The 24,013-nt window shown below is 40.6% G+C and overlaps 1 long non-coding RNA gene across 1 annotated transcript in view; it reads right to left on the bottom strand.

Annotated features, from left to right (window-relative positions):
- Positions 1-20,397, bottom strand: part of MIR646HG (MIR646 host gene) — a 183,765-nt gene extending 163,368 nt beyond the window's left edge. Inside the window, exons 1-2 of the long non-coding RNA NR_046099.1 lie at positions 20,245-20,397; positions 4,383-4,482 (exon numbers count right to left, since the gene is read on the bottom strand). This is a non-coding gene — a long non-coding RNA (MIR646 host gene). The remainder of the gene's footprint in view (positions 1-4,382; positions 4,483-20,244) is intronic.
- Between the last annotated feature and the right edge of the window lie 3,616 nt (positions 20,398-24,013).

Genomic DNA, 24,013 nt, shown 5'->3' with positions numbered 1-24,013 from the left:
TTAAAGCAGGTATGGAAACCAGCTGGTTTCCAACAGTCCCTGCCATTAATCATTATTTTGTTCAATAAGAAATAGCACAGTTCTCTTCCAAGCCCACAAGTTTTCATAGCCCCATCCCCTCAATTTTCATAGAGCAACACACCCTGCCTATGATTTCTGTTACAGTTTAATGAGTTAACATGGATTAAAATAGTTGTTGCAGTTGGTAAAATCATCACATCATAATAACAACAAAGTTAATAGAAATCTGTTATCACAAGAATGCAGAAAGTTGCAAGAGGTAGTTAATACCACATGAACGATGAGAACAAGACAGATGGACCACAAAATCAGTTTTTAAAGACCCACCAGAGAGGTAAAAATGAGACAAGCCTAAATGAATTAATTCCCTATCGGGATGAGTCTTATGAAAGCCTAGACCCAGCTCTAAGGCAGATTGGATCTACTCAGCTGCCAACACTTGTGTCCTGACAAAAGAAGAGGCACACCACCTTTCCAGTAGATATTTATTCAATATCTACTGTCTTCATACAGGCAATATCTAGAATAGGATTAAAAATTATGAGACATAGAAAGGAGGAAAAGGTGAACCATTTTCAAGAGAGAAAACAGTCATTAGAAGTAAATCCACAGATAACCTAATCATTGAATTAATAGATAAGGACTTTAATATCACTATGAAAAATGTGTTAAAGGTCTAGTAGATAGGTAGAAAAATTTTGCAGAATATTCAAACCCTTAAATAACAATTGGAAATTCAATAATTGAATAACATGATACAAAAAAATATTTTATTAATTTTATAGACTGGATATCAGAAGGATTTGGAAACTTGAAGAAAGGACATTAGAAATTATTCTATCTGCAACACAAAGAGAGTAAAAGCAATTTTTTAAATTTAATTTTTAAGTTCAGGGGTACATGTACAAGTTTGTAGTATAGGTAAGCTTGTAACATGGGGGTTTGTTGTATAGATTATTTCATCACCCAGGTATTAAGCTGAGTACCAATAGTTATTTTTCTGGATCCTCTCCCTCTTCCCACCCTCCACCCTTCAATAGGCTCCAGTATGTGTTGTTCCACTCTATGTATCCACGTGTTCTCACCATTTAACTCCCACTTATAAGTGAGAACCTACAGTCTTTGGTTTTCTGTTCCTGTGTTAGTTCACTTAGGAAAATGGACTCCAGCTCCCTCCATGTTCCTGCAAAGGACATAATCTTGATCTTTCTTATGGCCACATAGTATTCCATGGTGTATATGTACATTTTCTTTACCCAGCATACCATTGATGGGCATTTCGTTTGATTCCATGTCTTTGCTATTGTGAATGGTGCCACAATGAACATAATATGCATGTGCCTTTGTAATAGAACGATTTATATTCCAAAAAGAGCAATTTTTTTAAATGTTAGAGAATGACAACTGTGAGTCAATATGAAGTATTTAATATAAGTGTGATTGAAGCCCCCCAAAATTGGAAATAAAGAATGAAGAAAAATATTTGAAATCATTGTTGGAAATTACTAGAAAGGGATGAAAGACATCAATCTAGAGATCCAAGAATCTCAGCAAACCCCAAACAGGATAGATACAAAGAAAACTGCAACTAAGAATAACATACTCAAACTGATGATATCAAAGACAGAGAAGACATCTTAAAAGCATCCACAGGGGAAAGAAAAGATATTGCATACAGTGAAGCACTAAAAAGAATGTAAGCTACTTCACAATAAGAACTGTGGTGGCCCAAAACAATGAAACAATATTTTTAAAAGTCTAAGAGAAAAAAAAACCTCCCAATCTACAGTATACTATCCTGTTAAAATATACTTCAAAATTAAGAAATATAAAGACTTTTTTATGTAGACAAAAGCTGAAATAATTCACATCCAGCAGATATGTGCTGCCAAAAAAAATGCTAACAGACCTTGTTTAGGATTATGAGAAATTATACCACACTATGAGCTGCTTAAAGCACGAATAAAAGTATTGCAGGTGCATAACATACAGAGGTAAAATACATGACACTAAGAGGACAGAGTAGTGTAGGAAATAAATAGAGTTATGTGGTTATAAAATATTCACATTGTGGGGCACGGTGGCTCACGCCTGTAATCCCAACACTTTGGGAGGCTGAGGCGGGCGGATCACGAGGTCAGGAGATCGACACCATCATGGTGAGACCCCGTCTCTACTAAAAATACAAAAATTTGCTGGACGTGGTGGCGGGCGCCTGTAATCCCAGCTACTCAGGATTCTGAGGCAGGAGAATTGCTTGAACCTGGGAGGCAGAGATTGTAGTGAGCCAACATCGTGCCACTGCACTGTAGCCTGGTGACAGAGCAAGACTCAGTCTAAAAAAAAAAATTCACATTGTTCATGACATGGCAAATTATTATTTGAAGATGTGTTTGATAATTTAAAGATAAATATTGTGATATATAGAACCACTAAATGTTAAAATAATTGCTTTTTTTAAAAAAAAAAAGGAGATTAAATGGAATACTACAAAAATATTTAGTTAACCCAAAAGAAGATAGGAAAGAAGGAAGAGAACAACAAAGAATAAATGGGACCATCTTTTTAAATGACAAAATAATAGACTGAAATACAATCTTATTGACTACGACACTGTTAGTAGACTAAACATGTGAAAGGCAGAGATTGTCAGTTTCAAGGAAAAAAAATGAAGATACAACTATATGCTATTTACTAAAAACATTCTTTAACTATAGACATACGGGTTAAAAGTAATGTGTGGATAAACATATATTGGGCAAAAAATAAACATAAGAAAATTACATTAATATCAGAAAAAAATTTCTATGTAAGTGGTATTAATAAAGACAATGAGGGAAATTTCATAATTATGTTAAGTGTTAATTGATAAGATGTAACAGTGCTACATATTAGGCAAAAAAAAAAAAAAACAAGATTGTGAAAATTTAAGTAAAAATTCACAGCGAAATGAGAGAAACAGACAAATCCACAATATTAGTTAGAGGTTTTACCACTTCTCTCTCAGTAATTACTAGAACAACTAAACAATAAATTTATAAGGTTATAAAAATTTGCTCAACATTCTCAATCAACGTAAGTATTTAAATACCCATTGAACAGCCAACAAGATAAAGCAATGCTGGGCCATAAAAACAAGTCCCTATAAATGCAGAACATTGAAACGCACAGAGTATGTTCTCTAATTAAAATGGTATAACCTAAGAAAATAATATGATTTCTAGAAAACCTTAAAATGGTTTGAAATTTGTTAAAATGCCTCTAAATAATGTATATCAACGAATAAATGACAAGGAAAAATTGAAATCAGATCTACTGAATAACAAGACAAATAATAAAATATCAAAATTTTAGGATGCTGCTGAATTGATGTCTAGAGGTAACTTATATCTTTATAGATGTATATATATACTTAAAGGAAGGTTTAAAATCAGCGAACTGAGCTTTCGACTTAATTAGCTAGAAAAAGAACATGTTTAACTGAAGGAAGTTAAATAAAGCAAGTGATTTTAAAATGGGTGGTAGTCAAAGAAATAGAAAACAAAGAAACAATAGAGAAAATCAAAGGTCAAAGTTTGGTTCTGTGAAAAGATTAATACAATTTACAAACTTCTATTAAGACTTATAAGAAAAATGGAGAACATATAAATCACCAATATGAAGACCGTAAGAGGCAATATTACCAGACATTCTACAGACATTAAAAGAATAACAGGAGGAATGATGTTTTATCAATAAACTTAACGAGTCAGATAAAATGGAAACATTCTTTGAAAAACACAGCCAACAAAAGTGACACAAGAATTAGTATATCTAAATGATCGATATCTTTTAAAGAATTTGAATTTGTAATCAAAAACTTTCCAAGAGTTAAATATCATCCAGATAACTTCACTGTGAATGCTATCCAATGTTGGAGAAAGAAAATAATACCAAATGTATATTCTTTTAAAGAGGAGAAAAAGGAAGAAGGAACAGTTCCTCCACTTGTTTTAGGGCAGCATAACCATAGTAGCAAAACATGACAAATCAAACAAATAAAATTACAGACCAATATCCTTCATAGTACAATCGCAAAATATCAGCAAATATGGCAATATATAAAATTTATCATAACTGAATAGAGCTTAACCCAGGAATTCTGGTGGTTTCAACATTCAAAACTCAATTGGTATAACTCACTACATAAATGAAATTAAGAAGAATAACCATATAATTATTTCAATAAATGCATAAAATGTACTTGACAAAATTCAAAATCCGTTATTTAAATAATTTTTTAAAACTTTCAGCAAAATGAGAATAGCAGAGAAATTTCGAAATCTGACAAAGGACATCTATGAAAAACCTAAGGTTTATACTTTACTTAATGGAGAAGGACTGCTTTCCTCTTCATATCAGGAACACAGCAAGGACGTCTTTTCTCACCAGTTCCATTGAACACTGTACTAGAGGTCTTAGCTGTTGAAATAAGAAAAAATAAAGAAACTATAATCACTGAGAAAAACAATGTGTATCTGTCCCTACTACAGACACAATTGTGTAAATGAAAAAAAATCAATAGAATCTGCAAAGAAAAACTACTAGACTTAATTGAATTTACAAAGGTTACAGAATATAAATACACCAAACTCAAGTGTATTTCCAATATACAAGCAGTAACAATGGGAAAACGAACATTTTAACCTGTATACATATATATTTACAGTGGCATTCCAAAATATTAAATACCTAGAATAATCTAACAAAAGATCTGTAAGACCTCATCACTGAAAACTATAATACAGTCATTTATCTCTTAACAAGCAGGATATCTACTGAGAAATGGGTCATTATATGATTTTGTCCTTATAGAAACATCATAGACTATACTTACACAAACCCAGATGGTTCAGGTTACAACACACCTAGGCTATATCTGGTAGAGCCTATTGCTCCTGGGCTACAAACCTGTACAGCATGTAACTATACTGAATGCTGTAGGCAATTGTAACAAAATGGTATTTGTGTATCTGAACATATCTCAACACAGTAAAATATGGTACTATATTCTTGTGAGACCACCGTTGATTATGCAGTTCATCATTGACTGAAACATTCTATGCAACCCAAGTGTATGTTGTATTGTAATAATACAAATTAATTTTAAAAACTAAATAAATGCTCACAGCCTGATAAACTAATATTGTTAAGATGCCTATTCTCCTCAAGTTGATTCATAGATAAAACACAATCCCAGTGAAAATAATATCAGGTTTTTTGCATCAATTGAAAAGCTAATGCTATAATTTATATGGAAATTCAAAGGATCTAAAATAGAATAATCTTAAAAAAACAAAGTCACAGGACTTATAATTTCTGCTTCAAGGTTTACATAAAGTTATAGTAATCAGGATGAGTTGATACTGGCACAAAAATAGAATATACCTCCATCAGTGGAAAGAATGAAAGGTACAGAAAGAGACCCATACATTGATTTTTGAGAAAGGCATCAAGTCAACTCAATGGAGAAAAGAAAGCGCTTTAAACAAATACTGCAGAAACAAATGGACAGCTGTATCCAGGGGAAAATAAATGCTTGACCTCGCCTTGCTCCACTCCAAAATAATAATTACAATAACATGTAATAAACTGAAATGTAAAAGCTATAGCCATAAAACTTCTAGAAGAAAACATAAAGGCAAAAAGGAAAAATAAAGGTTACATGGGATTCATAAAAAAATTTGCTATTTAAAAGACACCATTTGGCAAATGAATACACAACCACAGAGAAGAAAATATCCATAACACATTTGTCTAACAAAGGACTCATATCCGGAATGTTTAAATGACTCCAAAAAATCAATAATAAAAAGACAAACACTCCAATTAAAAGAGTGGGAAAAAGACTTTAACAGGCACTTCACAAAAGAAGACATAAAATGGCTAGTAAGCACATGAAAAGGCATTTAACCCCATTAGTCATTAGGAAAAACTAGATTAAAGCAAGATACGATTTCACATTCACTAGTAAGACCGAAGTGAAAATGACTGACAATACCCTATGTTGGCAAGGACACAGAGTGATAGAAACTCTCATATGTTGCTGGCAGGAGGGTAGAATAGCACCTTGGAGAACTTTTTGGCAGTTTTCTATAAAAAATATACAAGTCCCCTATAACCCAACAAGTCTGCCCTCTTGAGATTCACCTAAGAGAGATGAAAATCTGTGTCCACAAAAAGACTTGTACAAGAGTGTTCACAACAGCCTTGTTTATAATAGCTCATAACTGGACATAAATGTCCATCAACAGATGAGTAGATAAACACATTGAAGTATATTCATAAAATGCTTCTTGGCAATAAAAAGGCAAGGACTACTGCTAATACACAATACCATGACTGAGTCACAAAAATAAAGCCATTGCCCAAAGTAGGCATTCTGTGTGCTTTCATTTGTATGAGATCGAAGAACACAGATAAACTCACCTGCAGTGACAGAATCAGAAGGTGCTTGCCTTTCCAGACTAAGGGTATCAACTGGAAAGGAGACTAGGGAACTTTTTGTTTAGGGGTTTCATGGCAAAAGTATTCTATATCATGCCTTGGGTGGACGATCACAGGAGCACACACCGTTGACAAAACTCATTGAAATAGATACTTAAGATGGTAAGACCTGTGCACATTATTGTTCATAAAGTAATCCTTTATTATAAAAATATTTTTAAAATAATATCTAATCTCTAGATGCTGAATGGATAAAATTTAACAGAGTTTGCAGGACTGATGGTAGGTGAGTTAGGAGACTACTGCCATGATCCAAACCATTCAACAATGTAAGCTCTCAAAGAAATTCCACTTCTATTCATCCTAGCCTTTTGGGATGAGCTCAACCTTCTTCACTGGAAGCAAAGAAATGGAAGTCGATCCTTGCTAGAAAAGCCACCCTTCAAAGAATGATAGCCCTTCTCCCAGTTTCTTCCCGCACAATGATGCTGTGAGCATAGGCCACACAATGTTCCACTTTCTAGCATTACAATGTTTTGGGGTTCACCTCACGTGTGATCACTAGAATGCACTCATTCTGAAATCCCCTCTTCGTAACTTTTTCATTTTTCAATGTCTGTCTTGAATCTGACAATTGATCATTCTCTTCTATGAATTCAACACATTTCCCACTGTCATTTCAAAAGTGGAAGGGAGTGGTAGTGAGTTCTCTGTCTCTGGGATGATTCAAGTAGAGTGTGAACAATGATGTGTCTAGGGAAATGAGAAATGGTGAGGGTGAAGCTCTTAATGGAGGACGGGGGATAGGCTAATCACCTGGGTCCCTTCCAACTATAAAATCTCTACTTTTTGGTCAAAGTCTTGATAAATGTTAATACAGTGTAAGAAATAAAAAAATCAGTTAATTTATACTTAATTTACTTAGCTAAATTTAATTGTACCCTGTATGTATTTTGTTGGACCAGAGGATAGAATTTTATGCATATCTACTCTGGCAAGAAACTCTGAAATTCTCTTTGATCCTCTGCTAATTTTGCCGCTACAACAGTTAGCCGTTGCTCAGTTGCTGTACCTTTCAGGCACAACCTGATGTTGATTTTAATTACTTAACCTAAGACCAAGGCAAAATGAAATGCCCACTGAGTCCTATTCCAATTTCAGTTCATTTAATGCAAAATCTACTGCTTGCAGACTTGGACTTCATTCTCTGAATTAAGCATCACACATTGGGAGGCATTTAAATATTAGTTTCCTCTTTTCTTCAATTCTCCACTCATGACCTTTCACAGTTATCGTTATTAATTAGCCCAGCAGTCACTGCTTTCTATCATTGTGGCTCCTCTCTGTAAGCCTCCCTACTGGTCCTCCTAGGGGAACCATACACATCCAGTGTGGGGTTCTAAGCACAGTTAAGTCCAGCTGAACCGCGTTTCCATCCTCAGAACAGAAGTCTGGAGCTTTTGGTTCTATGGTGTCAAGGCATCACTGTAGGTAGTTCATGCTTTACATCTTCTACCTTAGGTCCCCTCTCTAACACCAGTTAAAGGATTTTCTTTAATCTCAGGTGATTTGGATAAGTGTGGATATGAGAAGCAGGAGTCAGACTTTACTTTTTGTTTCACCCACAGCCAGATCTAATGACCACAGGTGACGGTCTTGACTGGAGTTCAATACTAATCTGGCTTAATGGATTTCTCGAGTTTACTTCATTTTTTTAATTCAACCTGTAGCTTAAAAAAGAAAAAGAAAGTTTAAATGGCTCAATGCAATCAAGTTGCTGCATCATTCAATCCCTGTCAACAGACTGGATCTGTTTATACTTTGGTTTCCCTCCTGCTGGTCACCTGTACATTATGTCAAGCAGTAACCAAGGATCAAATTTATTTCCAAATGACGGCTAACAGGGAATAGGCAGATACAGTTTTCAGATATCTATGTCTTTTGATAGTCTGCAAAGTTGCCTGAAGAAAAAGAAATATAATTCTCTTTATTTTTTAAAGCAAAGAGAATAGGGAACACAACACACATTGATGCTTCATAAGAAGCGTTTGCCCTAGTTTAGAAATCCAAATTTCCTCCCACTTCAAGTCGGGAGGATCACTTTGGTGTCAATTATTAGATAATTATAATCCCCAAAGATCCTATTTGGGAGCCATGTGGGCTTTACCTTATTGTTATTCTGGAAAGGCAAGCTGAGGGAAGAAAAGGTATGCTTTCACGATTCACGAAGACAAGTCATATATCTAAGGCATGGGTTGTGTGTGTGCACACACTGCATACTCAACATTCGGGGAACATGTTTGATCTCCACATGATCGGGCACATTGTCCTGTCGAGCCAGATAGAAAGTAGCTCCTGATAATGAAGAAGAAAGAAACTATATGCAACACATGGTCATGGGCATAGAAATTGGGGCTGTCCTGGAGGTCACACACACAGCTTCAGTGTTCAGTCTGCAAGTGAGCTGGCTGAGCAATCCCAAGCAGTCTCAGCTCCCAAATACAGGAGGCCATCCTATTCAGAGCATCTTCCCTTGGAATTGGCCACCATGCTAAGAGAAAGAACTATCTACTTTAGAACTGCTCTTGAGGTTCTGAACCTTGGGGCAACCCAAGCCTTTCCTTGCCCCTGGTTCATGGCACCTGCCAGCCATTCTATAAACATTTAAGTGCATATGATATATCAGTCTAAGGCAAATTTGTGACTGAGGTCATCATTCCCCAGACCCCCATGTCAGCAGTCGCCCACTGTGGGGGCTGCCTTTGGAGGCTGCGGTCTAGTCTTGTTAGCAGGGGTGGATCTGTACAAGTCTGCAGCAACTCAATTCTTGCCTTGCAGAAGAAAGAATACAGCCAAGGGGCAGCAGGCAGGGTGAGAGACTGAGGCAAGTTTTAGAGCAGGAGTAAAAGTTTACTAAAAAGTTTTAGAGAAGGAATGAAAGGGAGTAAAGTACAGTTGGAAAGGGCCAAGCAGGCGACTTGAGAGATTCAAGTGCTCTGTCTGACCCTCGACTTGGGTGGGGTCTTGTATGACATGACTCCAGGGTCCACATTTCTTCTTCCCTGATTCTTCCCTTGCAGCAGGCTGCTCCCATGCAGTGGCCTGCCAGCACTTGGGAGAGGAGCATGCACAGTGTGTTTGCTGAAATTGTGTGCAAGATCATTACCCTTTCCAGGTAAGCATTCCTAGAGGAAGGTCACATACCAGTTAAACTCTGCCATTTTGCCATTTAGTGCACATACTTGGGCCCACTCATCCAGCTCCTGAGATCCTATCAGGAAGCTGATCACCAGCTTCAGATGTTTCCTGTCTACTGGAAGACAGCCTTTCCCTAGTGCCAGGCATGGCCAATTAGAGACAGCTTAACAACAACCTGGCTATCACCTGATGGTCACCTGACATCCCTGGGGCAGGGGGCCCTCTTCTGCCCTGCTCATGTCTGCCTAAATACCAACTCTAACAGTCTGATGCCCCAAACATCTTATTATGAAAGGACCGCTCCTGCTCCCTCTCTGGGTTTTTGAACTTCCCACTCTATCACAAGTGTCCTTGCTCTCCACCCCTCAGCCCCTGCATCTCTGAGACTTTCCATGCTTACTCTTTACAGTCCTGCCTGGCCTCTCTCTCCACCTCGCGGCCCTTGCATCTCTGTGACATTCCATGCTTTTTTATGCTCCCCCTGGCCTCACTCTCCACTCCACAGCCCCTGCATCTCTGAGACTTTCCATGCTTACTCTTTATGCTGCCCCTGGCCTCACTCTCCACCCTGTGGCCCCTGCATCTCTGTGACATTCCATGCTTATTTTTTCTGCTCCCCCTGGCTCATTCTCCAACCCTTGGCCTCTGCATCTCTGCAACTTTCCACGCTTTCTCTTCCTGCTCCTGCCTGGCCTGTTTTCTTCCATACTGCTTCCCCTTTCCTCTTTGTCTTTGTATCTTTTCCTGCTTCTCCCTCTTTGTGTCTGTCATTCTTTATTATTTATGAAACAGATCCTCAGAGTGCTCTCTTCACAAAGAAAACTGAAGAGTGAGGTTTCTCTCTGCTTTGAATATTTGGCTTTCTCCTCCTGAAATAGGACATAACTCTCTGGATACCTCGGTGCCGGCCCACCATTTCACAGGGTTTCTGAGTGGATATGTTAAGACCATGTGAGTATAAAATAATCCACCCTTATGCAAATATAGAAAGTATTAATTTTAAAGTCATCTAACAGGATTGACATCCTGAAATTATTTTTCTAATAGGTCTTTGTTGCTCACCTATTTTTGCTCTGCAGTGCTTTCCATGGGGTGGGGAAAGGGCCATAGAGGTGAATGATACATGAAAGGGTCATTGTTCTGACCTGGCCAAGCCTGACCTTCAGAAGGACCATCAGCAAAATTCCCACAGATTGGAATGGTTGCTATAAAGGGAAAATGCAAGGTGTCTTGATGAAGAATATAATGGGGGCTACTTCACCTCAGGTGATGTGTTAGTCACTCAGGCTGCCATAACATAATATCACAGACTTGGTGGCTTAAACCAAAAGAGATGGATTTTCTCATAGTTCTGGAGGCTGTAAGTCCAAAATCAGGTGCCAGCATGGTCGGGTTCTGGTGAGGCCTCACTTCCTGGGTTGCAAATGGCCACCTTGTCACAATGTCCTCTGTAAACCAAAAATAAAATTCAAAGTCCCCTGACTGAAGGCACCCTCCTCTTGGCCAAGGGGATTTCAAAATAAACTGGTTCAGACCATGATGGGAAGTGGGTGTCCGACATGCCTCCTTATACCCTCCTCCCCTGGAATTCAGGCACAACTGACCAGCTTTAACATTAAAATGTAGATCTTAAGACTGACAGAAGAAAATCCATGTAGCAATAAGATATCAAATTCCAACCTGACTCTAGTAGAACGTCACATGACAGATAGCAGGCCCTGAAAGAAATCAAAGTATTTTCCCCCAGAACATATTTCATTGACATATTTTGAAATGGTCCTGCAAAGCTGTCTCTCATGGGGAAAATCTACATTCCATAGAGAATCCCCTTCCCTTTCCAGGTAGTTTCCTACCCAGGAGAGATTTAACTAAGAGTCTGGCACATTTTAGCACCTGATAAAAGACATTTACTATTAATATCTATTTTCTGAGGCCCGCTACCTAGAGGCTTCATCTACATAACAAGAAATTTGGCTTCCACAACCCTCCTTATCTTAGCATTTCTTTCTGCTGACTTCAACTCTTCAGGCAGAGCTTAACCCTGTCAACAAACTGCCATCAGGAAATCTTTAAATCCACCTATGACCTGGGAGCCCCTGCCTCTCCAGGCCAAACCAATGTACACCTTGCACGTATTCATTTCTGTTTTTATCTATAATTTCTATCCCCTGAAAATGTATGAGATCAAGCTATAACCCAATCACCTGGAGCACATGTTCTCTGGACCTCTTGAGACCATGCCTCAGGCCTTGGTCACTCATTTGTGGCTCAGAATAAATCCCTTCAAATATTTTACAGAGTTTGACTCTTTTTTGTCAAAACCCCACAGAGCCTTCCCTCTGTGCGTGTCCCTGGAGGAAGAGAGAGTGCATGAGCTCCACCATTAAGTCTGCAAATTCATAGACCCCTCTCTTATGACCTCATTTAACCTTAATTTCACTCGTGTCCGTGTAAAGGGACCACCAAACAGGCTTTGTGCGAGCAACAAGGCTGTTTATTTCACCTGGGTGCAGGCGGACTGAGTTCAAAAAGAGAGTCAGCAAAGGGTAGGACTGTTTTATAGGATTTGGGTAGGCAAAAGAAAATTACAGTCAAAGGGGATGTTCTCTGGCAGGCAGGGGCGGGGATCACAAGGTGCTCAGTCGGGGAGCTTTTGAGCCAGGATGAGCCAGGAGAAGGAATTTTACAAGGTAATGTCATCAGTTAAGGCAGGAACAGGCCATTTTCACTTCTTTTGTGATTCTTCAGTTACTTCAGGCCATCTGGATGTATACGTGCAGGTCACAGGGGATATGATGGCTTAGCTTGGGCTCAGAGGCCTGACACTTAATGACCTCCTAAAAGCCCCATCTCCAGATGCTGTAACATAGGGGGATTAGAGCTTCAGCACATGAATTGCAGGGGTGGTGGAGGGATGGGGAGTAGAGACACAATTCATTCCGTAACAAGTGGTCAAGAAAAGACTCTCTAGGATGGTGACACTTATGGTGAGACCCGAAGAATGAGAGGGAACCTGCCATCTGAAACTCTGGGGAAAGCCCACTGCAGAAAGAGGAACAGTAGGTGAACAGGGGGAGAAATAAGTTGTAGAGATTAGCATTAAGCATTCTATTTCACATTTGTTAAATTTGAGGCTTGTGTGACATCCAAATGGATCAGTGAAGCAATGGAATAAAAGAATGGAAAATCCAATAGTAATACAAATAATTTATTCCTTGCCAAAGTACAACCATCAAAGGTTTCAAAGATACATGTGTATGGCTTTCTATGCCTGCCCTATCTGGATCATTGTCTTAATCGCTTGGCCATCATGAAACAAGTCATTTGGGTGTGGAGGAGGATGGAGAATCAGTTGGCAAGCGTGGAGCCAGGCTAGCTTCAAGTGCAGCCCAGAGAGCCAGGTGGAGAAAATCAGCACCAAGACTTTTCCCAGGTGAAGCACTTCATCAGGCTTATCAGAGGAAGTGTGTTTAGGGGTTCATTAGAGAACACAATTAGTCAAAACAAATTCTTCCTGTCTGGGAAGCCACCAAGTCCTTAAAAAAAAAATGCTGTATGAGCATCCCCAGTGGCCAATTGTGCATCCAAGAAAATGCTGCTGTCACCATCTGAGTAAGTTTCATTAAGTCCAAATGCCTCAAATTGCCTTCTTTTTCTTCCTGAAACCCTCAGCTTTTTAATTCCCTGAAATCCATGGTCTTTGACTTCCCACTGCACACAGTTGTTTAGATAAATCCATTGAAGATCTCTGCCCACAAAGCATACGATTCTGGAGAAAGGAAGAGACACTTCCCAAACCCCATGAGGCCTCACCCACTTCCTGCGAGAAGTTCAGAAAAGATCCCTCTGTGTTCTTGGTATCAGAGAGCACCTCGAGACATCGAGAGGCACTGGTGATGTTAGTTAAATTGCACATATAAACAGAATGCATCCGATTTTAATTGCTTTATTCCTCTCTACCAAACAAAACATGTATAAGCCTTAGCAGGCTGATAAAGGCCTCCAGGCACTGTTTTAACAACTTGCATATAATTTGCAGTTTGCAAGCACTGGTGAGGAAAGGCCTGCTGGGGGCAGAGGCTCTGTTACAAATCCTGGAGGTGAGGTTGCCAGGAGGGGAAGGAGGAGTGGGAAAAATTCTTATTACTTTGATTGTGTATTTTAATTCCAATATATTGAAAAAAAATGCACTCATTTTGTAATATAATTGTGTCAATGTGTTTTAATACAGCATGTTGTTAAAGTTACTTATACATTCCTGGGAAGATAAAATCTAGGGGCTAGAAGTCAGTCATTTAAATAATATGAAAATATCCGGGGCTCATTTGATGACAGTGTTTCAAATATTGGACCAAACAAGAAGTAATTCTCCCAACTTCCTATGATCTTTACCCCTTAATGTTACTCCAACAAGTGCTATTTTGAATTAATTCCATCTCTCATTTATTATCTTGTTACTGGAAAAAGGAGTCCCAATCCAGACCCCAAGGGAGGGTTCTTGGATCTTGTGCAGGAAGGAATTCAAGGTGAGTCACAGAATACAATAAAATGAGATCATTTATTGAAAGCTACTCCAATTACAGAGTGGGGATCCTCAGAAAGTGAGAGAAGGAACACATCATCCTTGTTTTAAGTTTTTCTTCCATAGCGGTCTTATCTATGCAAAAGCTAAGCTAAGCTATGACTATGTGCAGACGGGCTGACAGCGTGACAAAATTTATTATTCTGCTGATTTAAAGAAAACTGTATTTGGCATTTTAGTGCATATGTACATCAAAGCATAATAAGAAGTATCTTGAAGGCATATATTTTTATGTACATTGGGGCATCTGGACATTTTGTTGTCATAGGAGTTTGTCCTTGCAGTCATTGTAAACTGCTTCCTTAGCCATAAACATCTTATGACCATGGGTTGTGATTGGCAAGGAATGCGCCTTGCTGGTTTTAAGATGGCATTAATTCTAAAATGGTGTCACCTGGGCTCTCCTGGGCTCCTGTTTCCCGACAAAAATCTCCTACAAGGGAATGGAGAGTGGACACAACATTTCCTGGGAAAAAACCATAAGTCTCTTGTTCAATTAGAAAATGCTAAAAATTGGGCTTATCTGAGTGTGTAAATTATGTCAAAGAGTTGACAGATGACATACGTTGATATATTCATGAAAGGGGGCATTTTTCCTTTACATATAAGGAAGAGAGTTTAGGTTTCAAGTTTATATGTAAAGAGCTTGAGAGTCATCACTCCAGTCCTTCCAACAAATAAAAGTTGGACAAACTGAAAATCAATGACCTTTCTTGAACCTATTGGAGAACTGAGTTCACAGTGTGAAACAGAGCTCATGGGAGGCCATTGTTTAGGACTGGCCTCCTGCACTAGGCCCTGGGCAGACCAGAACAGAGTCAATGTACTGAGGGCTACCTAATGAAACTGAACTTTGAAATGAACCAGTTTTCCTAAAAAACGAGAGATTCTGGTTAACCTGAGTCAGCATAAGAAAGTTTCCTTTGTTTTAGTCCCATAAGGAAAATATCTTCAAAATGACCAGTCAGCATAATAAGAAAGTTCTCTTTGTTTTAGTCCTACAAGGAAAATATCTTCAAAGTGCCCAATCTGCTTTCTGTTTCTGCTTTCTTCAGCCCCTTTCTGCCCATGAAGCCAACTTCCTATGCTCAGCTCATTAGAACACGGACTCTATAGAATGAGGTGTTGACAAATTGAAAATAAAAGCCCATTAAGACCTTTAAGTTTGTTTTAAGTTTGCCTTTTGATAACAGGGTAAGTCACTACCCAGAAATCTGGAATCTCTCCATCTCTGGATGAGTCCAGAGAATCACAGCTGAACTCTGCCTCTCTGGAGCAGAAGCCGCTGTAGACATAAACTGGTAGGAACACTTAGATGATCAAGTTGACACATTCCTATGAACTGAATGTGTGAGACTGAAGAAGGCAATGTAAGACTGGTCACTGCAGCCTTGGGGAGACCTCACACTTTTATGGATTTTATCTCCAGGAGCCCTTCAGGTTCTGATGGTGAAGATCCTGGAAAGAGCTGCTCCCAGCTTTGGCAGGGAAAGGAAGAGTATTCCTTATGAAAGACACCAGACCTTCTCCTTCCCCTGGAAGGTCCACTCTCCAAGGGAAAGACTTCTCAGCCTCATTCCAGCCTGGGGAAGGGCATTTTCTACTGCAGCTCCCTCCAGCCTTCCAGTCTCACCTAAGGCTGGGGGAAACACTTGTGAAGTCACAGGCCAGACACAGAGCCCCACTGAAAGACTGAGATTTAATTTGATGATTATAGGACACTCCCCTTCCCCTACAATTTACCACCTCAACAACAGGGCTTCAGTATAACAGCAGTGAATTACAGTTGAAACAGCTCCAGACAGAGGCTCTGAAGAGCAGGACTCAAGGTCAAGAGGCGAGGCTTCTGGCACCTACAGCAAATATTGAACACAGCCCAACTCTGAGCCAGATGAACATAAATCCTCACACTAAGGCCTGTTGACCTCAGTTCCTATTGCTCTGAATTATTAGCCAGATAATTTAAAATACTGTGGTTAGTATGTTAAGGGTTCCAGTGAAAAACTAGATAACATGCAACAACAGATAAGTAATATAAGCAGAGTGATGAAAATACTAGGAAAGAATCAAAAGGAAATACAAAAAATCAAATCACTGCAAAAGAAATGATGAATGCCTTTGATGGGCTCTTCAGTAGCCCAGACAGAGCCAAGGAAAGAATCAGTGAGCTTGAGCATATGGCAACAGAAACTTCCCAAACTGAAATGCAAAGAGAAAAACATATTTAACAAAAAACAATAGAATCCTTAAGAACTGTGGAACAACATCAAAAGGCTTTATGTATGTATTATCAGAATACCAGAAAAAGAGAGAACAGCACATGAGTGTTCAAAGTAATAATGGCTAATAACGTTTCAAAATGAATGATAGACCCAGAGAACTGATAAATACAAAACAAGCAACAAATAAACAAAAGCCACAATCACATACCCTTAGGTATATTATGTTCAAACTGCAGAAAACCCAAAGACTAAGAGAAAATCTTGAAACAAGATTATTGATATTTAAAAGGCAAACATTTAAAATGACAGGAACAATTTATTGAGTGATTATGGCACATGGAGAAGTGGGGTGAAGGCAACAACATCCCAAGAATTTGAAGGAGGAACTGGGAATGTTCTGTTAGGTGGCATCTGCACTGCCTGGGGGGTGCCCAGTGTTATCTGAAGGTGACTTATTGGTAAATGGGGAGAAGGGTCCCCAAGGAGGTAGAGTGGCTTGGTAAGTCAGTGGGTGCACCAAGCATGGATAGCAATGTGACTGGAGCCAGAGAGACGGGGGCTCAGCCCCAATCCCACTCACTGTGCCAGCTTCAACAGGGTTTTCACAGCTTTTACTCTCAGATACCTCATCTCAGAAATTAAAGCTATCAATAGTTCCTTTGTAAGTCTCTCTGGAATTGACATAAAGCAAGTAAAGCTGTCCACATAACACCTGGCACAGGTAAATCGCCTATATATGGGAACTGTTATTATTTCAATTGACAGCAGTGGCGCTCATATTGTGGTTTCCCCAGACCAGCAACATCACCTGCAAATGTGTTAGAAATGCAAATTGTCAGCTCTCACCCCAGATCTACTGAAGCAGGAACTCAGTGAGTGGGTCCAGAAATTTGTGTTTTAATGAGTCTTCCAGGTGTGCTGATGCTTGCTAGTGCACGAGAAGCACTGCTTTATACAATGAAGAAATTACTAGTGAGGCCAAATACTGAATGGCAACTCTGATCACCTGGCTTTCCTGACATCAAGCTCTAACATCATAAGTAGCTCAGACAACAGTGTTGTTAAACACAGCTATTATTGATCACATTCTACCTTCACTATCAGAGGCAGCTCAATGCTTGGCACATAGTAGGTCCCTAAAAAACACTCAAGTGAATCAGGACCACAGCTCTCCCCATGTAACCTCACTATTTCGATAAGGAAGGCAGAGCGTCCAGCAGCTTCCTGCTCCACCTTGCCCTGTGTGCTTTGCCATCTGATGACAGCCCCATGAAGAAGTCAGAGTTTGACTCCTAAATATAGGACTAAGGGGACTGAGATTTGATCCTACAGCCTCTGTTTTCAAATGAGATAAGGCTGAAAGGCCACATGACTCCCTTCATAAGTGATTCAGGGAGGAAAGAAAACTAGAGCTAAGATCACCAATTTTTTTGTTGTTCTTTGTTCCATGGTTGTGCTGAACCCCTATTAAGCTCAATAGGAAGGCCGAAGAGACCCAGAGCTAGCAACCAAGCCATGGGGTTTTATTAGGGGCTTACGTGCAGGGAGAGTGTTCAATGATGGTGGGCTGAACAGGGAAATCACCTTATGTACAGAAATGCTCCAGTGGTGGCGGGCCGGGCAGGAAAACTGTAACCTCTTCTGAACAGCATGTCATGTACATACCATTTTCACTTAACACCCTCCTGGTAACCTCGCCCTGGCAACCTTCATCCAATCCCAAACTCAGGGCCTCAATCCCGTGAACGGCCCACGTTCCACAGAACAGGCCAGGGGCTCAGATGTTTATCATAGACACAGAATCAATCTCCGGGTTGGCCACTCCTGGATTCCCTAGCACAGAACACACATTTAGGCGCATCTGCCATACAGGGTCATTCTAAGGGTATGCTTATTACTATCAGGTGCATTTACCCTACATTCCCCCCTCATGAACATTAAAATGTTGAGGTTTCTTGATGGAAATTTTTTGTCCATTCGTAATTTTGGTTTAATCATTGTTAGTTTTTGATCAAGCTCTGTGGGGCCTCTGTGGCATGTACAGTGCTGTGCTGGACAAGGCAGGGGACTAACAGAGTAACACACGTCCCCATCCCCTGCAGAGCCGGAGCCCTGCCCAGGAGAGAGAGAGGGTGTAGACAGCCTCATGACGATGCAGAATGGGGAACAACTGTGTCATAGCAAAGGACCACGCATGATGTTAGGGGTGTTTAAAGGGCAGAAAAGAAGTCTGTTCCAAGAGTCAGGGACCAGGGAGGCTTCACACAGGAGCTGGACACCAGAGCAGCTTCTGCTAGGGCCTCCTGGGAGACATAGTGATCTGGCCTCTCCAGGAGAATGCAATGTCCCACCTGACAACCATGCAAAGAAATGAATGGTGAAACAGACAGCAGGTCCCCTTTGCCTATTACACTAGCATTAAAATGTAGTGGACATACCTAGTGCTGGCAACAGTGTGATGAAATTGGCATTCTCATCTATTTCTGGAAGCATCTGGCAAACTGCCTACTGGGAAGATAAGCTTTTGGAAATCATCAGTCAACACGCGTGAAGCGCTATTGTCGATGTTTGTGTCATCGGCCCAGCAATCAGACATGTGGAAATCTGTCCTAACGGATGTTGTTGTTAGCAAAAGAAAAACAATATTCTCCACTGGGTTCATTTCCCAACAGCTGGAAGCAATACAGGCATCAGAGAATGGCCACCTGAATGAATACTAACTGCTCAGTGTTGAGTAGCCCTTAAAATAATTTTTCTGAAGAAATTCAGCCACCTGCAAACAAAAATCTTAAGGTATGTTAAATTAAAAATCATGTCTCAGAATTTTACTGAGGACAATTGCAAATACTCAACAAGTAATAAACCTTGGGCAAAGATACTGGAAGGAATTACAAAATAATAGTGCTATCATTAAGATGGTGTGGTTGGTTGTGGTTTTTATTACATATTTTCCCTGCTTTTCAAATGCGCTAAGATGTTCTTACAGATAACAGTTGGAGAATGCAAAATATTAGAGAGAGAGAAATGAGAATGAAAGGTCACCTCCTTATCGTTGAAGTGGTAATAAAAGTAGTCACAGGACCTTCTCATTGCCAGCAGCACTAGCCCTCATGTGAACTTTATTTTCATTCTTTTCTGTTGCTGAAAATTGGTATCCAAGGGCAGTTAAGTCTCAGGGGCATGGCTTGACCTCAGGCTGACCTCAGCCCAGCACCAGGCTGGATTTCTGAAGCTAAGCAACAGGTTCTGAGGTAGGTCAGAGAGGGTGGTCACAGCCTCACTTAAAGGAGAGCAAACTTGCTAAATAGATGGCGAGAACAAGCCACCTGCGGTGCACAAGCCGCATCCCAGGCTCGTGGTTAGACCATCCTTTAGCGAGGAGGTCAAAGAGCGAAGGAAAAATCCGCGAATTCATCCAAGTGCAGAAACCCAAGATGAGTGTCCTTGGGCTGACCTGCGCTCATTAGAATACTAAAGAACTGGGTGGAGATTTACGATGCTAACGAGACATGCGATGTGTGTACTAGCATGCACAACCACAGCACATGTGCCACCAGGAGACAGCCCAGAACATGCTTCACGGCAACACCCCTTCCCAGCCCTTCATGAATAATCATGTAAGACCCCCATAAAGGGGGTTTCCCCAGTGTCGGCCAGCACTGCCTCGCCTTTGAGCGGCCGCTCCGATCCGCTGGCAGAGTGCGCTTTCGCTGTGCGATCAACTCCCTTGCTTACCTTTACTTTGGACGTGCTCTCAAGTTCTTTTGTGTGGCGAAGTCAAGACCCTGAACCGGTCCACCAGCAACAGTTCTTTCGGAGTCCCTCAACCACAGGCCCTGAAAGCCGCTGAGTTAAGTCTTTAAACTGCGGGAGAGCCTGGGAGCATCTGAAACGCAAAAGGACTCCCAGTGGATAGGGAGGCAGCACCCTGACCGGAACCGGAAGAGGTTTGCCGGTGAGCCTGAGTCTCCACACACAGTGATCCGGGCACCCGGGCTGCCGTGTGGCAGGTGAAACCGCGTGTGGTGTGGATGTTTCTCCAGCTGTGTTCTGTCGAGCCCCTAAAAGTCTGGCCTGCATTGGAAGGGCCTCCCCAGTGTCCTCGTTTCTGTTCAAACAGAAAAGTTCTTATTTTCTGTATTTGTGGTTTTTGCTTCCTCATATAATTTCGGTTGCACAAAGCTAAAAAATATTTGAAAACCTCTACTTAATCGTATAACTAAATGCAACATTATCTTTTGCTTATTTAATAACTATTTTAATATTTATTTTCTATTTATATTAATAGTGATAATAAAAATATAGCTTGGAGTGAGAGAAAAGCTTTCCTCTCTGTTAACTATCACTGTATCATTTAACTACCACTAGCTATTCCTCACAACGGTTTCTAAAGTGTAAGCACCTGCCACCTCATTAGCCTCTAAGCTCCACAGTGCCAGGGACTCTTTGCCTTAGTCTCTGCTATGTGCTCAGAATACCCAGCACATACTAGGTTTGAACAAAATGCATTTTGGAGAGTGGATGCTGCTGCCACCTGGTGACAGCATACCCACATTTCATGCTTAGCACTTTGATTACTTAATGAAATTCATGAGGAATGGAATCAGAAAACCTAAGACATGCATCTGTGTGATAGCAATCTCACTTTCCTCACTTAGCTTTTTCTGTTTCCCTACTCTGCACAGATTGGAGACATCTGAGTTTTCTCTGCCCCCATCACCTGCACCTGCCCTGGTGGCATGCACTTGCACCTCCTCTGTCTGGTATTAGGTTGGTGCAAAAGTAATTTCTGTTTTTGCCATTACAACTGCATAAACTGCGATTACTTTTGCACCAACCTAATAATAGGGCTTGCCCCTCCAGAGGATAGAATCTTTGCTTGTCACCTTAGAACTTCTCACACAGAGCACTGCATTCATCAAACCCTGGTCTCAGCCATCCTCGGGGCACATGGAAGGTCATGCCCATAAATCAATGCCTCAGCCAACATCTGGTCTCCCCTTCTGCCATTCCCTGTGTCCCTGCCCTGGCACCAGGCATTTGCAGGTGCAGGGGGCAACATCATTTAGTTAGCTTCATCTGGGCAGGGAGGAGCATTATTAAACATGAGAGATAGCTGTTGGCTCATGGAAAAGATTAGTTTTAAGCTATTTAAGGCAAAGCAATAAAGGATGTGGTTTCCTCCTCTGACATGCTTCCTAATTTGTAGATTCATATGACATCACACTGGATTACAAAGCCACATTACTCTGATTGGTAATATTATGCTATCCTAATTCAGTTTGTATAATTATTTAATTTTTTAGGACTGCTCTCAAATATTAACATTGTGTTCGGTAGAGGCCAGAAAAAATTGGGAACATGCATCCACACACGTGGAGAAGCTTAATTGCTAGAATAATGCAGGGCAATTATTGTAATGAGAACAAAGCCTCATGTCTGGCATACACATGTGACTGTGTCCAGCCCAACTTCCACTGAAGTGACAGTCACTGGACTCGAAGCTCCTCAAGGACAGGGGCTGTGTCGCCTTCACAGACATGACTCATTGCCGGTGCTCAATCAGGGTTGAGCTGACTTGACTTGAAGCCAAATAAGGACAAAGAAAGGTCAGGCAGTCCTGAAAAAGCCAAGGGTCTGAGAGACAACACTCGCTGTTGTCCTCGCTGTTTAATTCTCTGAGGTCCATTAGGAAGTAGGTAGGAGCCATGTCATCATGGCCACTTGGGCCAATCGTCTGCACAGATGGGGAAGGCATCTGCCCCCACAGTGAACACTAGGCTTATCTGCCTCCTAAATCTCTCTCCAGGCTAACTTCCATGGTTATTCAAATCCCTCTATTAAATATTCAGACCTCCAGCCCCTGGACCTCTATGGTCCTCCTGACAAAGCTAGAGCTGTGATTTCTCTGCACCTCCATTCTTCATCTGCAAAATGGGGCCATAGAGTCTACTCCACTGGGTTGAGAAGCTACTGGAAACCAGGCTGCCAAGTGCCTGATGCAGTATCTGTCTTCAGCTGGCCTCCACACAAAGACAGTTTCCTCTTTTAAATTATATCTAGACTTTTAATCATTTTTTTACATTTTTATGGGTACACAGTAGGTGTATATATTTATGGGGAACATGAGATGTTTTGATACAGGCATGCAATGCACCATAATCACACTATGGAAAATGGAGTATCCATCTCCTCAAGCATTTGTCCTTTGTGTTACAAACAATCCAATTATATTCTTAGCTATTTTTAAATGTACAATTAAATTATCGTTGACTCTACTCACCCTATTGTACTATCAAACACTAGGTCTTATTCATCCCCATGTCCGTCCTCCTCACCCCCGCAACACTTCCCAGCCTCTAGTATCCATCCTTCTACCCTCTATCTCCATGAGTTCAATTGTTTGGATTTTTGGATCCCACAAATAAGTGAGAACATGTGATGTTTGTCTTTCTGTGCCTGGTTTATTTCACTTAAGATGATGACCTCCAATTCCATCCCTGTTGTTGCAAATGACAGGTTCTTATTCTTTTTTATGGCTGAATAGTACTCCATTGTGTAAAGTACCACATTTTGTCCTCTTATTGCTTTTCGTCACTGCTGAGAGCCAGTCCTATCTGCTGCTTTTCCAGGGTTTCCTAGGAAGATGCCCACTCTATGTGTTAGACCAGAAGTTTAAGTTAACGTGGTCTATGGACAATCACAGCCCATGCACCCATGGCAGGGCCTCAGGTACCTGCATGTCACCAACTCCTTACCCCAGAGGAGATGCCCACTCTGGCTGGGAAAGTTTAACCACTTCGACGCACACATCTGCCCAACAAATATAGACAGAATGCCTACCATGTACAAGTGTTAACCAAACACCTGAGAAAGAAGCATTAGGTTAACAGAGACTCTATTTGCACAAGCAGTTTGCAAACTGGGGAGATGCAGCCTTCAGTACAAAACAAAGGTGGGCCCGGAGAGAACCAAGAGAGTGGTTGTCTTTGATAGAGAAAGCTCTTACCCAGCCTCCCACTCTGGGCCACTTATGCAATTGTGGGATGTAAACTGCTCAGTTCTGATTGGCCGATGCTGTCACAGTCTATTGCTCAGGTCCAGGAGGAAAATAAGGTTTTCCCACAGCTACTGATTCAGGTGGCATGAACAGGAAAAAACAGCCTTGAATGTCCCTAAGTTACATGGCAAGGGTGTGTGCTTTCCTGGAACACAGAGTATGTGTGTGACCTCTAGTCAGCAAATGGCTGCTTGGCTCTATTTGGAAACTAGGCCCAGTTAGATGCTTAAGAGCTGTTTCGGAGAATGGGCTCTTTCAGGTTCACACAAGACAAAACAACTAGCAAAAGGGAGAAAATGTTCCTGCAAAGTCTACTTTCTAGATTCTCTAGGAAGGTGGTTTAGTCAGGGTTCTCCAGGGAAACGGAACCAATAGGAGATATTATATATATCTTATATATATGTGTGTGTATATATATATTATATATGTGTATATATATTATAT

The sequence above is a fragment of the Homo sapiens genome, chromosome 20 (assembly GCF_000001405.40).
Source record: "Homo sapiens chromosome 20, GRCh38.p14 Primary Assembly".
Lineage (NCBI taxonomy): Eukaryota > Metazoa > Chordata > Mammalia > Primates > Hominidae > Homo > Homo sapiens.
The sequence above is the reverse complement of the archived record's forward strand: the minus strand, read 5'-3'. Positions and strand labels throughout refer to the sequence as shown.